Source organism: Homo sapiens, chromosome 21 (genome assembly GCF_000001405.40).
Source record: "Homo sapiens chromosome 21, GRCh38.p14 Primary Assembly".
In the NCBI taxonomy this organism is placed as follows: domain Eukaryota; kingdom Metazoa; phylum Chordata; class Mammalia; order Primates; family Hominidae; genus Homo; species Homo sapiens.
This window is the reverse complement of record NC_000021.9, coordinates 42,056,875-42,072,149: the sequence shown is the minus strand read 5'-3', so window position 1 is coordinate 42,072,149 and position 15,275 is coordinate 42,056,875. Positions and strand designations below refer to the sequence as shown.

At 51.5% G+C, this 15,275-nt stretch overlaps 1 protein-coding gene across 4 annotated transcripts in view, besides 7 other annotated features; it reads right to left on the bottom strand.

Moving 5' to 3' along the window:
• UMODL1 (uromodulin like 1) overlaps positions 1-9,273 on the bottom strand; it is an 80,120-nt gene extending 70,847 nt beyond the window's left edge. For 2 of the 4 annotated variants that reach the window (NM_001199527.3, NM_001199528.4), the window contains exon 1: positions 8,936-9,273. Coding sequence is in view for 2 of the 4 variants with exons in the window: in NM_173568.4 (NP_775839.4) it covers positions 758-833 (76 nt within the window). In the remaining 2 variants the exon portion in view is untranslated. Of the gene's footprint in view, positions 1-757; positions 834-8,935 lie in introns of those variants that run through there. The other 2 variants (NM_173568.4, NM_001004416.3) reach the window with 1 other exon arrangement.
• Positions 4,245-4,799: an enhancer, noted in NCBI's record as "H3K27ac-H3K4me1 hESC enhancer chr21:43487460-43488014 (GRCh37/hg19 assembly coordinates)". NCBI's record gives its function as "activates a minimal SCP1, AML or CMV promoter by ChIP-STARR-seq in primed H9 embryonic stem cells {active_cell/tissue: H9 hESC(primed)}" and the evidence as "EXISTENCE:reporter gene assay evidence [ECO:0000049][PMID:30033119]".
• Positions 7,983-8,052: an enhancer, noted in NCBI's record as "active region_18502". NCBI's record gives its function as "activates an Ori minimal core promoter by ATAC-STARR-seq in GM12878 lymphoblastoid cells {active_cell/tissue: GM12878}" and the evidence as "EXISTENCE:reporter gene assay evidence [ECO:0000049][PMID:35858748]".
• Positions 9,003-9,112: an enhancer, noted in NCBI's record as "active region_18501". NCBI's record gives its function as "activates an Ori minimal core promoter by ATAC-STARR-seq in GM12878 lymphoblastoid cells {active_cell/tissue: GM12878}" and the evidence as "EXISTENCE:reporter gene assay evidence [ECO:0000049][PMID:35858748]".
• Positions 9,483-9,652: an enhancer, noted in NCBI's record as "active region_18500". NCBI's record gives its function as "activates an Ori minimal core promoter by ATAC-STARR-seq in GM12878 lymphoblastoid cells {active_cell/tissue: GM12878}" and the evidence as "EXISTENCE:reporter gene assay evidence [ECO:0000049][PMID:35858748]".
• Positions 10,633-10,872: an enhancer, noted in NCBI's record as "active region_18499". NCBI's record gives its function as "activates an Ori minimal core promoter by ATAC-STARR-seq in GM12878 lymphoblastoid cells {active_cell/tissue: GM12878}" and the evidence as "EXISTENCE:reporter gene assay evidence [ECO:0000049][PMID:35858748]".
• Positions 11,111-11,694: an enhancer, noted in NCBI's record as "H3K4me1 hESC enhancer chr21:43480565-43481148 (GRCh37/hg19 assembly coordinates)". NCBI's record gives its function as "activates a minimal SCP1, AML or CMV promoter by ChIP-STARR-seq in naive H9 embryonic stem cells {active_cell/tissue: H9 hESC(naive)}" and the evidence as "EXISTENCE:reporter gene assay evidence [ECO:0000049][PMID:30033119]".
• Positions 11,695-12,278: an enhancer, noted in NCBI's record as "H3K4me1 hESC enhancer chr21:43479981-43480564 (GRCh37/hg19 assembly coordinates)". NCBI's record gives its function as "activates a minimal SCP1, AML or CMV promoter by ChIP-STARR-seq in naive H9 embryonic stem cells {active_cell/tissue: H9 hESC(naive)}" and the evidence as "EXISTENCE:reporter gene assay evidence [ECO:0000049][PMID:30033119]".

Below are 15,275 nucleotides of genomic sequence, written 5' to 3'. Positions count from 1 at the left end.
GCCCTGTGAGCTGTGTGGCCTGGGCAAGTCCCTGATCCATTCTGGGTCTCCCTTTCTTTTTTGTTTTTGTATTGTGGCTTTTTTTGTTTGTTTGTTTGTTTGTTTGGGGGCTTTTGCTCTGCCGCCCAGGCTGCAGTGCAGTGGAGCAATCTTAGCTCACTGCAGCCTGGACCTCCCAAGCTCAAGTGATCCTCCCATCCCAGCCTCCTGTGTAGCTGGGACCACAAGTGTGCACCACCATGGCTGGCTAATTTTTTTTTTTTTTTGGTACACATGGGGTCTCATGATGTTGCCCAGGCTAGGTCTCCTTTTTTTTTTAAATCTGTAAGTGAGGACTTGAATGCACCAAGGTTCAGGAGACCTTTCTTCTGCGTCTGTAGGAGCTCACTGTTCTCAGTGGGATCTGAGGACCCACAGCATCTGCATCACCCACAGACATGTAGAGTTCCAGGCCCTGCACCCCAGACCTGCTGGCTAAGAATCTGCATTTTACCCCCACGAACGCCCAGGTGATTCAGCAACAGGTTCCCACTGGGGGAGTCCTCTTCCCAAAACCCTACCCGGCACTCCTGCCCCACCTCCACAGCTGCTACCATGTGCGCTTACCAAAAAGCTTGTCCACAAAAGAACAGATGTCGCCTCTCCAAGCAGAGGCGTCCTTGCCTGCCCAGGTCTCCACAGGGGGCTGTCCTCATGAGACCCATGCCAGGAAGCCCCTGTCCTTAAGAACTGCCCATGCCAAGCCCAGACCCCTCACCTGTGAAGCCGCTGGCCTGGCTTGGGCCCACAGCACTGACCAGAGCCAGCAGTGCCAGCCCCGAGGTCCTGAGCATCGTCCGGCAGTGGTGGCAGTACAGGGCTCTGGGCCTCTACCAAGAAGCCTGGGTCTCTGCTACGCCAGGGCTCATAGGGGCCTGAGCTGCCTGGACCTGGAGAAACGGCCTTTCTGTCCCCTGTGCTGCTGCAGGTGGCAATGACTTCAGAGGAAGCACCGCTGGGAGCAGTCCCTTATGCCTGCTCGTTAACACCCACCATTGCCATGGCCGTTTCCCTGGGGGCTCCTGCGTGTCACAGCCTATTCTGCTCCAAGCAGATGGCATCTTTTAGGAAAGGTGAGTACCCAAAAGCCCAGACCGCATCGCTGGATCCCATCTCGTTGTTACGCAGAAAACACATTTGAGACTCATATCTGAGTCTCTCCATCAACACGGAGTATTCTCTTACCCTATCGTTCTGAACTGGCAGAAGAAAACAGCATCAAATCAAAGTGGAACATCACGTTCAGAAAAGCGTCCTTCACACGGTTCCACAATGCACTTCAAAAGTCACAAAAATGTCCAGGTGCTTTGACCCAGTCCTCTCCTCCCGGAGCTTGGGCTGAGAGCACGAAGCTGTGGTCACAGGGATGTGCATTACCTATTATGACTTAAAGTGGGAAATTACATAATTGGACAGCCACAGGAGAGTGGGAGAGTAATTATTACAGAGCATCTGGATGCAGCATTACACGGGCGTTGAAATGCTCACCATGAAGTTTTAGTAGCACAAACAAATACTTAACAATGTGAAGTCAAAACAGCAACGCATGCAATTTCATCTCCATGAAAGTGACAACTCTGTACAGTTATATAAGCATGGAGAAAACTCCAGAAAGGGCCCTGGGACAGGAAGAAAACATTTTGAGGAGTGATAAGAATACAGGTGATTAATGTTTTATTTCAGTAGTCATCATGGTATATGTGAAGTAGATTTCTAAATCTCATGTTAAGTTCTTTCTAGCTCATGATGTTTTCATACTGCACCGTTGATTGCCTCTCACTTCTTAGTGTTGACTGCTGAAGCCCAATTTTTAACATTGGATGAAGAAGATCTTGTTGATTTTACTGAGGAAACATTCAGATGAATTAACAAAGATTCACGTTGGCTGCATGGTTCGGGAGCATAATTCCCTGGTGTTCTAGATACAAAACGATTCCTCCAGAAGGGACCTTCTCGCCTAACTCCCGCACCAACGTTGCTACCTCTTTTATTCTCTGTAGATTAATCTCTGAGATGATGAACTGCTGCATTTGCTTGGCTAATGACTAAATGTCAGATGCCATGACAAGAATACAAAAAGGAGGCTGGAAATGATCTCACAGCAAAGGGGCTGCGTACAACGGGTGTCCTTGGAACACAGCAGCTTTTATAGAAAACCAAAAGCTTCACACAGAATTGGCTCATTAAAAAACGTTTTCATACGAAAAGAATAAATGTTAAAGCTATTATATAATACTCAAGGAAGTGAAATTTTATTAACACTAAAAGAATAAAAAGTATTATGATTTAAGTAAATCTGAACATTTTAAAATGCAAGATGAATTTGTATTATCTTGTATATATCATCTCAAAATGTTTGCTACTATAATGTATGAATGTCTATAAAATATCAAGGTAAATCAGGGATAATATTACAGGTTAAAACTCAAAATTCGTCTGGTGCACTGTTGTCTCTCATCTTCACGATTGCCCTATGAAATAGGTCCTTTGTCCCTATTATATAGGTGAGAAAACAGGTTCAGAAAGGCCACACAGCCAGTAAACAAGAGATTAAACCCAGGCTTGTCTAAGCCTCAAGCCGCAGTTCTTCACACTCCACTCCACTGCTGGTCTGTCATGATTTAACCACAGACCCCAAGACAGGGGAACAAAATCAAGACATTTTACCAGTTGAGGACTTCATAATAATTTATAATCATCCATAAAATGTCATTGTAACATGCTGTCTCTTTATATTAAAATGATTAAAGAAAAAAATCCCAAAATTAACAGTCTGTTTCTAGCTTGGTGTCTCCTTCAACCTCTGTTTTATTGAGGCACAATGAAAGATACCCCTGCTGTTTGTGTGTGTGTGTGTGTGTGTGTGTGTGTGTGTGTGTGTTTCTGTCTGTGTTTTGTCCATGGAAGGCATTTTTCTCCAGTTATCCTTTATACATATTTTCCTGCATGATGGCCGGAGGGATTTTTCACATTTGCCCTGTCCATGTAAACACTCTGAGGAGAAAAACAACCCCATACTGTAACCCACCAGGGAGAGAATTCTCCAGCACTTGGTGTCCAACAATGCCGGGGTGTGTCTTCCACAGTCCATCCAGCAGAGAGCCCCAAATTCGCTCAGGGCCTCTGTGCAGAAAGGCCAGCATCCCCCACACAGCATCCAAGGGCTGGAGAGACAATGGAGGCCACTGGTGTGCCATGCTGGCTTTCAGGGCACACATGCCCAGGCATTCACACCCACTCACACTCACATACATGCGCTCACACTGGGCATAAACACAGACACATCCACACTCACATGTGCACCGACACATACAGACACACTCACACAAGTCCACACACATACTGACACACGTTCACACTTACACACACTTACAAACACAAACTCATATGCCACATCACTCATGCATGCTCATTCACACATGCCCACACTAACACATGTACACATATTCACTCATATGTATATGGGCATGCATGGTAACGGCTGCCGGGCAGGTGCAGGCAGAAAGAGGCAGGGTGGGAGAAGCCCTCATCTCCAAGGGGTGGCCAGCTGGGTTTATTTTCAGGGAAAGCTGGTTGTGATGGAGAATGTGAGGACGAGCTAGGGAGGAGAGTCATGCAACCAAAAAATGGTTTGGACTTGGAAGAGACCTTGAGTCATCCAGCCCAGCATCCAGCCCATCCAGGTGGCTCTCTGACAGCGGCGGTGACTTAACACCCTGTTTCTCGGGGTGTGTGTGGGGACCACCTGCATGGGGAGGGAACATATAGAAAATGCAGGCTCCCAGCCTCACCCCTCTCTCACTCAGGCACTGGAGGATAGGCCCCCCGGCATCCGGGTGACTCAGGTGCTCACACGACCTTGAGGACGGGACCGTGTCCTCCTGAACACCAGGACACGAATCCAGTGGGATGGCCCCTTTTGTGGACAGATGGCTCTGCCTGAAAATTCCTCACGATATGGAATCACGGTTGGCCTTCCTGCTGGAACGACCACATCCGAGAAGCCTGGTCCACCCTCACACTGGACAGTGAGTGCCACTCCTCCATGTGGCAGCCTTCGGACCCTTCTGGAGAGTTCTCCGGGCCGCCTCTGTTTTGCTCCCCTCCCCCATCTCTCTCTCCCTCACTCACACAGACACGTGCCCTCGTCTTTGTCTCTGTTTCTGTTTACCTTTGAAGAAGCTCGGCTTTCTTATCACAGCCCGAATGACTTTTCCTTTTCCACATTCCACTTCGGAGACTGTGGCCCTCCACGGGCAGCAGTTGCCGGGTTGGATGGAAAGCGAGGGTGCGGCCTGGGGTTGGGACATTGTCTCCAGGCCCCAAGGAGCAGCATGGGCCTGTCGCTTTCTCGTGGCAAGGCCAGAGCAGATCGGAAGGCGAAGAGACACGAGAAACTCCCAGAAGAGGCGCCCAGGCCTTCAGAGGTGCTTCCGTAACACAGCAAAGGCATAGCTAAGGCCAGGGGGGCAGTGGACACGCACGTGCCGGTGTGTTTTCAGACCCTGCATGCCTCACAGTGGAACCTGGGGAAAGCCCTGGATTAGGAGCCAAATACCCTCAGTCCAGTCCTCGTTCTGCCAACGGCTGGACAGGGTCCCCTGGGTGGCATTTATCCATTCAGTGCCTCGGTTTCCTAAATGAGAAATTACCAAAAGGGAATAGTGATGCCTTCTAATTTAATGGTGTTTTAATGCCTCCTGATTTTATGAAAACCAAATTAATTAATGTATGGGAATGCCTTCTAGAACTAGAGTGTATTTTAAGTATCCATCACTTATTGTCATTAAATGTAGGTAAGGCCATTACTGGGGAAATATAATTAAAAATAAAATGTGCTGGCCAGGCACAATGGCTCATGCCTGTAATCCCAGCACTTTGGGAGGGGTGGGGGGTGGATCACGAAGTCAGGAGTTCAAGACCAGCCTGGCCAAGATGGTGAAACTCCATCTCTACTAAAAATACAAAAATTAGCCAGGTGTGGTGGCACATGCCTATAATCTCAGCTACTTGGGAGGCTGAGGCAGAGAATTGCTTGAACCCAGGAGGCGGAGGTTGCAGTGAGCCAAGATCGCGCCACTGCACTCCAGCCTGGAGGACAGAGCGAGACTCCATCTCAAAAAAAAAAAAAAAGAAAGAAAAAAGACGTGTGCTCTAAACCCAGGAAACCTCTCCACAAAGGTGGAAAAGAAAGAAAAGTTTCATTATTGAATAACCGTTAAGCCAGAAGATGATATGCATCACAAGCAATGGCTAAGAGACTGCAAAGAAAGGATCTTATCCTTTTAAAGACTCAAACAGGTACAACTAACTGCATGCGTGTTTTCAACATAAACAATAACTAGTCCTTAAGGAAGAGGCCCTGACAGTGCCATTTGTCACACACCGTTGACCCCAGAACCACCTGGTCACTGGGGTTACCATCTGTGTTTGTTAATTGTCTGTATCTAGAAGAAGAATGAACTCCTATCTTCATGACAGGAGGTGGTTTTGCAGCTTGGAGCAAGATCAACTAAGTTAGGCTTTTGGCCTCCCTAGGAAACCAGAGAGGCCAGGAGACAGTTTGGGAGGCTGAGCTGGGCAGATCGCCTGAGGTCAGGAGTTCAAGACCAGCCTGGTCAACATGGTGAAACCCTGCCTCTACTAAAAATACAAAAAAGATTAGCCAAGCATAGTGACACACACCTGTAATCCTAGCTACTCGGAAGGCTGAGGCAGGAGAATTGCTTGAACCCAGGAGGTGGAGGTTGCAGTGAGCCGAGATTGCGCCACCGCACTCCAGCCTGGGCGACAGAGCGAGACTCCGTCTCAAAAAATAAATAAATAAATAAAGAGTAATGCTCAGAGAAAAAGGAGAGAAAAATCTCTTCCCTTCTTTTCAATCAGGAGAATTAAGCCTCTATTTTTAATTTGTCTCTGTCCTTGAAATCCTGAGGTGGTTTTAAGGGCATAGGGCACTTACCAGAGAAGACTGGCCTGGGTGCTTGCCAGGGCCTCTTCCAACTCTGAGATCGTGAGCATCAAGGATAAGCTTTGGAGCCTATTGATAACCGCATTAGCACCACGATCAGGAATGCTGTCGCCCTAACAATAACGTTAGGACAAAGAATTCACGGTTCATGTAAAAGAGCGAATGCAAGTCAGAAACAAAAATCCACCTATGTCTGGGTCCTGGGACCTGGCTGCGGAGGGCAGCGTGGTCTGGAGAATAGGGTGCCAGCCAGGCCTGGTGTCCTGACTTCTAGACAGGACTCCAGCCTGTCTGTAAAAGTTGGTGCAGGCTGAGTGCAGTGGCTCACTCCTGAAATCCCAACACTTTGGGAGGCTGAGGCGGCCAGATCACAAGGTCAGCAGATCGAGGCCCTCCTGGCCAACATGGTGAAACCCCCTCTCCACTAAAAATACAAAATCTGGGCATGGGGGTGCATGCCTGTAATCCCAGCTACTCGGGAGGCTGAGGCAGGAGAATCGCTTGAACCAGGGAGTCGGAGGTTGCAGTGAGCCAAGATCATGCCACTGTACTCCAGTCAGGGTGACAGAGCGAGACTCCGCCTCAAAAAAAAAAAAAGAAAAAAAAAGAAAGAGATCTGGTGCAGTCCTTGGCCACCTGGACTTCAGGGTCTTGTTTCCAGATAGTGAAGATAACTGGCTCGATCCACACCTGCACCAGCATTTCGTGACTGGATCATCTCTTAGGACGGGTCAGACCACGGTGCTTCTAGACCCATCAGGGCCATTCTGCACCCAGTAATGGATATCATCATGTGGCTTTGAAATAATGAAGCAAGAGCAATAGAATCTGAACTGAAACGCAATAACTGCATGAATGAGTTTATAGTGTGGCATCTTAGAAAGCTTTCTGCTGGAGGGTTCCAAATAAGTGACGCCAAACTCAGAGGGGATCGTTCCCCGCCAGCCCTCATCGCAACAGGCAGCTGCCCCAGCACAGTCACTCCTGGAAAACACCAATGTCCCAAGGCGCGGAGTCTTTCTGCCGGGGCTGAGGTTGGGATAAAAGGACATCACAACAGTGAGTTGCCTCTACCTCGAATCAGGCTTTAATGTTTAAGAGGAAAAGAGAGAAGGTGTACATTCCCCCAGCCGCAAGGATTTTCAAAAGTAAAAACAGAATACAACAGATTCAATAGTTCCAATAAATGATTTTAAAATTCTCAGATATGCGCTCTTTGTCAGGATTCTCCAGAGAAACAGAAAACTGATTTTAAAAAAAGAAAAGAAAAGAAAGAAATTTGTGGGCCGGGCATGTTGGTGCACGCCTGTAATCCCAGCACTTTGGGAGGCTGAGGCGGGCAGATCACCTGAGGTCAGGAGTTAGAGACCAGTCTGGCCAACATGGCAAAAACCCATCTCTACTAAAAATACAAAAATTAGCCAGGTGTGGTGTTGGGCGCCTGCAGTCCCAGCTACTCAGGAGGCTTAGGCAGGGGAATCGCTTGAACCTGGAGGCAGAGGTTGCAGTGCGCCGAGATCACACCTTTGCACTCCAGCCTGGGCAACTAAAGCGAAACTCTGTCTCAAAAGAAAAAAAGAAAAGAAAGAAAGAAATTTGTGATTCTAAGAAATTGAAATTGGCTCACACAGTTACGGAGCTGACAAGTCCACCACCACCTGCAAGGTGAGTCAGCAAGCTGGGGCCCAAGAGAGCCAACGTGTAGTTCCCGTGCCAACGTAGGCAGACTCAAGACCCAGGGAGAGGTAATGTTTCAGTTCAAGTCCAAAGGCAGCAAAAAGCTGATGTTCCAGTTCGGAGGCCGTCCGGCAGGAGGGGTTCTCTCCTCCTCGGGGGAAGGGGCAGCCCTTTTGCTCTTTTCAGGGCTTCAGCTGATTGCATGAGGCCCACCCACATTCTGCTTGACTCAGTCTATTGATTCAAATATTAATCCAATCAGATCAGAGGAGGGACCTGCAGAGGCACGGCCGGCAGAGAAACTGTTGGGCTGAACTGCCAACGGAGAACGCCAGGGATCTGATTCACCAGCAGCCTTGGGGACATTCACCTCGGGCTCGACAGACTGCCAGAAACCCCCCAAGCCCCAAGGCATCCATATAACGGCCAGGTTATTTCAGATTGACACACATCCTAATGTACGAGTCAGCCCACACATCCCACAGGCGCTGAGCATCTCTTGTTTTTCACCCCAAATAAACTCTGCTGAAACTGGGGGGCCGCAGGGTGTCGAGAAAAGGGAAGAAGGGCAGAGGGCAGAAGTGGGTGGTTTGCTCTGCTCCACCCATGGGAGGCTGGTGCACACGGCTGCTTCCGAAAGGGCTTCCTGCTTTAATTGCAGTGCTGAGACACAGGTGGCTCTCACGCCCTCTAATTCAGGCAAAGCCGCCACTGGGGCCAAGGGGAGCCGGGGGACAAGCAAGCGGCCAGTTGGGAGCAATGTTCACGATAGCTCCTTGCGTGCACCAGTCCCAGAGTCTTAGAGGGAGGGATTCCTCCAGGGGGTCTGAGGCCAGAGGTTTCCACTGCTCCTGTCCTAACGATCAGGTGAGCAGCCTCCCTGGGCTCCTGGGTCTAAGGCATCGCTCAGGAGGAAGGACCTTCACCACATTTGCCAGGAAGGTCTCCTGATACCCATGAAAGGCTGCTCACCTGCTGGGAAGCTCTTTAAAAAATCCCAATGCCTGGCCTCCAGCCCCAGGAAAGCAGCTTAGAATCTGTTTGGGGGACACCAGGGGGGACTCCGAGGGGCAGCAAGGTTGACAGCCTCGACCCAGTCCAAACACAGGGCAGCTTGCCAATGAGGAAGTGAAAGTGAAGGGCCCTTGGCCCAGGTCACCCTGTGCAGCGGGCTCAGTGGCAGCCCCCTGCACCCCTGCAAAAGATATGTCCAATCCTAACCCCAGGTACCTGTGAATGTCAACTTACTTGGAAAAAGGGTCTTTTTGCAGATGTAATTTAGATGAGATCATCCTGGATTTAAGGTGAACCTAAATCCAATGACTGGCATCCTTACAAAAGGAAGGAGAGAGAGATTTGAGGTGCATGGAGGGAAGCCCTGAGAAGCCATGGAGATTGGAGTGATCCATCTACAATGAGCCCGGGATGCCAGGAAGGGCTCACCCCAGAGCCTGGGAGAGGCAGGGGACGGTTTCTCCCTCGCAGCCTCCAGAGGAAACCAGCGCTGTCAGCCCCTCGATTTCAGACCTGCAGCCTCCGAGCTGCGAGAGAGTGCAGGTCTGTTGTTCAGCCTCCCAGCCTGTGGTTCTTTGTTTGTACAGTAGCCCCAGGACGTCGGTTAGGGGTGCAGCCTTGCTCACTCTCACGGGGCCCCTCCATTGGCTCTTCTCACCATCCACTTCTGCCCTCTGCCCGTCTCCCCCCTTCTCCGCCCCTGCGAGTCCCGCCCCAGTTCCGGCAGAGTTTATTTGGGGTGAACAACAAGAGACGCTCAGTGCACGTGGGGTGTGTGGGCTGACTTGTACATTAGGATATGTGTCAATCTGAAACAACCTGGCCATTCTCTCGACGCCTTTGGGCTTGGGGGCATTTCTGACAGGTTGTGGAGCCCAAGGTGAATGTCCCCAAGGCTGTCGGTGAACTGATTCAGATCCCTGGTGGTCGCGACTGACAGTTCAGCCCCTCCCTGGTTTCTCTGCCAGCTGCGCATCTGCAGGCCCCTCCCTTAGATCTAACGCATCTGTAATGCTTTCATCTCACTGAGAACCCTCCGCCTCTGGCAGGTTAGAGTAGCACTCAGGGTTGGATGTATTATCTCACCACATCTGCTTCGGTTTCCCCTGCAGAGGCGGCTCGGCGTTGGCACTGGCGCTGGCTGGGCACAGCCCTAACTAACTTGCTTCTTTGCGATCCTTCCCCCACTTTCATTTGGAAACGTTCTCACACTCTCTGCTTCTTGTAACCTCAACAGTGGGTGATGTTGAGAAAGTGTCATTTTTGTCCCAAGGCCTTTCTCCCTGTTGGATGGTCCCAGGGCTCGGCACAGCAGCCTTAGCAGGGCGGAGAGGGAAAAGGCCAGGAGCCCAGCACCGGGTGCAGTCCAGGGTCCCAACCTAGATTCTCTGCCTGCCGCGAGTTCACGTGGGGAAGGCCAATTTGTCCTGAGGAAACCACAGCTCAAGTGCTCACCATGATGCTGATGACAGTGGCCATCAGTCCCCACTGTCCCGCTGCAGATCTTGCTGATTTTCTGATACAGAGATGACCTCAGAGCCTTTTGGGTGGAGAAGAAAGCACCCAAGATCAAAGTCAGGGCCGGCCACTGGGTGCCACTGCATAGGATTTTGCCCTGGAGATAAGTTGAGGGAAATGAGGGCGCGAGAAGACGCTGCCTCACCTGCCCCTGAGAGAGCCCCACGGGGCAGTGTTCAAGACCCCACTTCCCGCAGGGCAGGGGCTGGGGCTTGCTGGGGACGTGTGTGGGATCTGAGCACAGGGACAGCCTCCAGCCTGTAACCCGTTGCCGCTTCCTCCTTCCAGAAAAAAAACATGCCTCGCAGGGGCAGGCCCAGCCCTGTGGGGTTTCAACTTCTGAAGCAGTTCAGGCGAAAGGCCGAAAACAGGAAGTGAGACTTGGGTGGTGGGAGGAGGGTATGGGCAGGCAGGAGGGATGCTGATACAGAAAATTCACATTTGAGAAGAACCCAACATATAAGAAAGGAGAGGAAAAGAGAGAGAGAAGACACCAGCACGAACTCCCCGTGGATGTGCCGGGTTTTTCTTCAGCTGCCTATCTGAGAGCCGGCCTCTGCCCTGCCCCACTCCTTCCACACACATTTGCCGGCCCTGCCTGCTGCAGGCCAGCCTGGGGCCTCAGTGGGACCCGCTCATGGCCTCCAAAAGCCTTAAAGTCTCTTGGGGGCTAAATTGTGTCCCTCAAAAAGATATGTTGAAGTCCTACCCCTCCGAACTGGTGAATGTGACTGTATTTGGGAACAGGATTTTTGCAGGTGTAGTTAAAATGAGGTCAAATTGGAGTAGGGTGGGCCCTAAATCTAATATGTCCTTATAAAAAGAGAGACATTTGGATGCAAATGAATGGAGAAGGGAGTACCATGAGACAACAGAGGTGGAGGGGGAGCGAGGCGGCTGCAGCCAGGGCACACCAGGGACCACCGCCTCCGCCCACACCAGCACAGGCCAGGAGGGCTCTGTCCAGACACCTGGATCTTGACCTTCCGGCCTCCAGAACTGTGAGGGAATCAACGTCGGTTGTTTAAGCTCCCAGTTTGCACTGCTTTGTTCCCAGCCCAAGCCGACTCACACAGAGTCTAAAGGGGAAGATGTTAAACAGGTTAAACATAATCCTCCCGCCTCAGCCTCCCAAAGTGCTGGGATTACAGGCATGAGCCACCATGTCCGACCCTCACTGCTTTTTTGTTTGTTTAGTAATTGGCTGGTTTTTTTGTTTGTTTGTTTCTTTAGACAGGGTCTCTCTCTGTCACTCAGGCTGGAGTGCATGACAGGATCTGGGCTCACTGCAGCCTCGACCTCCTGGGCACCAATCCTCCCACCTCAGCCTCCCGAGTAGCTGGGACTACAGGTGTGCACCTGTAGGTTAAACATAATCCCACGCCCAATTATGCCCAGACAACAGGGTCCGTGGCACCAACACTGAAGCCTGAAGGGAGAAGGGTCAGTTGGGCCCTCCGGAGAGGCTGGGGCCGGGAGCTGGCCTCACCCAGGAACCCATGCAGAGGGCAGGGACGCCGGAGCACAGGGCACAAGATGCATTTCCACTGCCCTATCACTCCACCCTTCCAGCCACACGCCAGGTCCCGGCCTGCCCGGCCCCCAGGACAATGTAGGTGCTGAGAGCTCTGCCTCTCTAGAAGTGGGCATCAAGGCAGGGCACCAGCGAACGTGGCCCCGGTCACCATCAGTTTCCGTGCACAGGGTGTGTCCCCTCACAGGGGCATGGTGACCGACCGAGGCCTCCAGATCACTTGGGGCAGAATCAGAAGAGGCCGACCTCAATTTCAGCAGGAATTTAGGTCAGATAATGAGGGCTGTTAAGTGTCAGGCTGCCTTGTCTGAGGTGCTGTGATGAGAAATGCTGGCATTGGGTGAATCTGCCAGGCAGGCAGCACTCCCCTACCCACCCTGTCTGTCCCCTATGGCGCCCTCCAGCCTCCGTACCTGAGTGGCAGCTTCAGAGCAAGGGAGGCTCCTTCCCGAGTGGGCAGCGTCAGTGGAGGGTAGATAAGAAGCTCAGCTCTGAGGCACAAGTATGCAGCGACTGGGGAACAGAGACATCAGAAGCCGCTGACCGCTGAGGACGACGAGGAGGAAGAGGGCTGCCATGACCTTTGGGTCCTTGCAGAGCCAGGTCTAACCCCAGATTCATTGACGTTTGCTTTCTAGGTGGCCTTTGGAAGACACTTGTCCTGGCATCTAATCTGCAAGTGGAAGAATAGTGCATGCCCACAGGTGGCAACTGAGCCAGCTTGCTCAGAGACCCCAGGATGCAATCAGCGCTTTGGAGAGGCTGGCTTCCTTGCTTCCTCTTTAGGAAGATCAAGTGCAAGAGTGACCCTGAAATCAACCTTCCCTGCAAGAAAGGGCTGTGTCATGTCCACCGCAGTCACTGTCCAACCTGCTGTCACTGTCCACGGTCCACTGTCCATGGGACCACTGGCCAGATGGACTCCTTGCCATTGGTGGTCTCTAGGGACAGACAGGCAGGCAGTGAGGGTCTAGCCTAGAAGTGGCCCCCAATGGACCCCGACGAGAGCCGGCCAGTGCTGGAGGAGCTGTCCCCACAAATGGTCAGGGGAGGGGACACTCAGCCTGGGCCAGGTCAGGGCTTCCAAGGGTGTTCAGCAGTAGCTGGCCAGCGTTGAGGCAAGCAGGTGACAGCGTGGTGGGCAGGACAGTGTGGATCACAACGACACAAGGCCACAGACAGGGGATCGGGGCTGGGGATTAGGCAGCTGGCCTCGGGAAGGTCCTCCAGGGAGTGGCAGGGCTGACTCCAGGACCAGAAACTCCTGACACTGGGACTAAACATGGCAAGAGCCATCCCCAGAGGGGCTGAGCCACTGAGCAGATGACCAGAACCAGAATGCAACAGAAGCAGAGCCGAGCGGCAGCAGCTAAACCCACGAGCAGCAGCAGCTAAACCCAGGGTCCACGTCAGCCTGGGGTCAGAGGCCAAGTTCAAGCAACACAATTGGGGCCCTGCCTGGGGGACGCTAGGGCCACAAATCAGCATCAACCCAAAAGGGGAGAACCAATATTGACCCATTCAGCGCCAATCCAAATACTCATTCCAATCAGTGCCAATTCAAACACTCATCCCACTCAGCGCCAATTCAAATTCTCATTCCTCCCTGCTGCCCTTCAGTCCTCGGCCCACTGCCATCCCACTTCCCGACACCTAAAACAGCACTTCGCTGTCGCTTCTCTGAGGTCATTGGTCCCTTTATTCTGTGACAATGTGAGTGAAGGTCTCCCCTGCCCTGATAGGTGATGGGCAGCACAAAGGGAGGAGTCAGGGCCTGGCGCGGTGACCCACGCCTGTAATCCCAGTGCTTTAGGAGGCTGAGGCAGGAGGATCACTTCACACCAAGAGCTTGAGATCAGCGTGGGCAACATAGTGAGACCCCTGTCTCTACAAAACAATACAAAAGAAAAAATTTGCCAGGCGTGGTGGTGTGTGCCTGTAGACCCAGCTATGCGGGAGGCTGAGGCAGGAGGATCACTTGGGCCCAGGAGGTCTAAGCTACAATGAGCCTTGTTCAGGTCACTGCACTCCAGCCTGGGCAGCAGAACCAGGCCCTATCTCGAAAACAAAAACAAAACAAAACAAAAACAAAAGGAGGAATCAGGACCTAAGACTACTTCCTCCTGGGGCCCAGCCCATGTCTGGCATACAGTAGGTACTCAATAAGTGCTTGTTGAATGGCCTGGGGTCAGCCCACATACACATTAGGGTAGGACCAGGAAGCAGCAGGCAGAAGAGGGCTCCCCACAGCCGCTCATCGCTCCCAACTCCCGGGCGTGCATATTATTTTAAGGACCTCTTCTATGGTCTCACAGACCCACAGCCGTGCTTCCCAGAATAGCCGTGACCAGCAGCAAAACACTTCATTCCGACATTCAAGGCTCAGACGGGTCGCATGTTCTTTCCCGTGGAGATCACAAACCAGGAAAGTCACTTTTTCAGCAGCTCTCTTCATCTGCCTCCTGCCAAGGGAATCCAGGAGTGTGAGGAAGTCACTCCCAGCTGAGAAACTGATGCCCTCTGATGCCCTTGGTCTTGGTAATATATTTAAATGCCATGTGATTATATAGTTACAATTCTTAGAAGGGTGGTGGTTCCCTCTAAAGCTGGCCATTTTACAAACCACTGACCTAGAAAAAGACTCTCACTATTGCACTGTAAAGATGAGGAGGGACTCAGAAGCTGACGGCCATTCATCCTCCCGGCTGCTCCACATTTCCAGGCGTGCAGAATGCTCAGTCGTTGCAAGAACCATGATGCAGGGCTGGCACTGCACAGGGACTCTTTCATGGAGGGTAGGGAGACCCACCAGAAAATCCTGGCCGGGAATTCAAATACATAACCCAGACATAACATGTTGCAGAAATCGCTGGCAGAAACCCAGCCCTGTGGCAAGACAATGCCTTCTTAGCATGCTGGCAGGCGAGGTGACCGCAGTCACTCAGGGGTTTGGTAGAGGTCCTAAAAACTTGGAGTTTCCTTTCAGATGAGTAACTTCTTTTCCATTTTCCAAAGGTTAGGAGGTTTTTGTTAAGAAATACATTTGAAGTGACGTTAGGAAAAACATACCCTTTCCGAAAACCCCAAAGAATGTGAAGAAAGTCCATCCGCATTCAGCACTCAGTGGCTTTCCTGGGGAAGGGCGGGCGTGGGCCCCCGTGCTAACATTTGCATAGTAAATGAGGGAATGTTTACCAAGCAGTGTTCAGTGGTTTGAGGCTTGTATAAATAAAAGATAAACAGATGAGGAAGCCCAAGTGGAAAGACCGGTTTGGAACGTCTCACTGACTGACTGGTGGAGCCATTGGGAGCGTTTTTCCATCCCAGAAGGAAAAAGGGAGAGCAGCATTTCCAGCCAGACTTCCAGAGAGTCTGCGGAACTCGTTAGGGAGGAGAGATCTGTGCGGTGTCTGGGGAAACCGCCTCGTGTAAGGGTCTCAACAGAGTGTTTGAAGGGAAAAAGAATAAGCTGTGAGGGGGTAGGACACACCCTGAGAAGGAAGAGATACAAAGATATGTTCG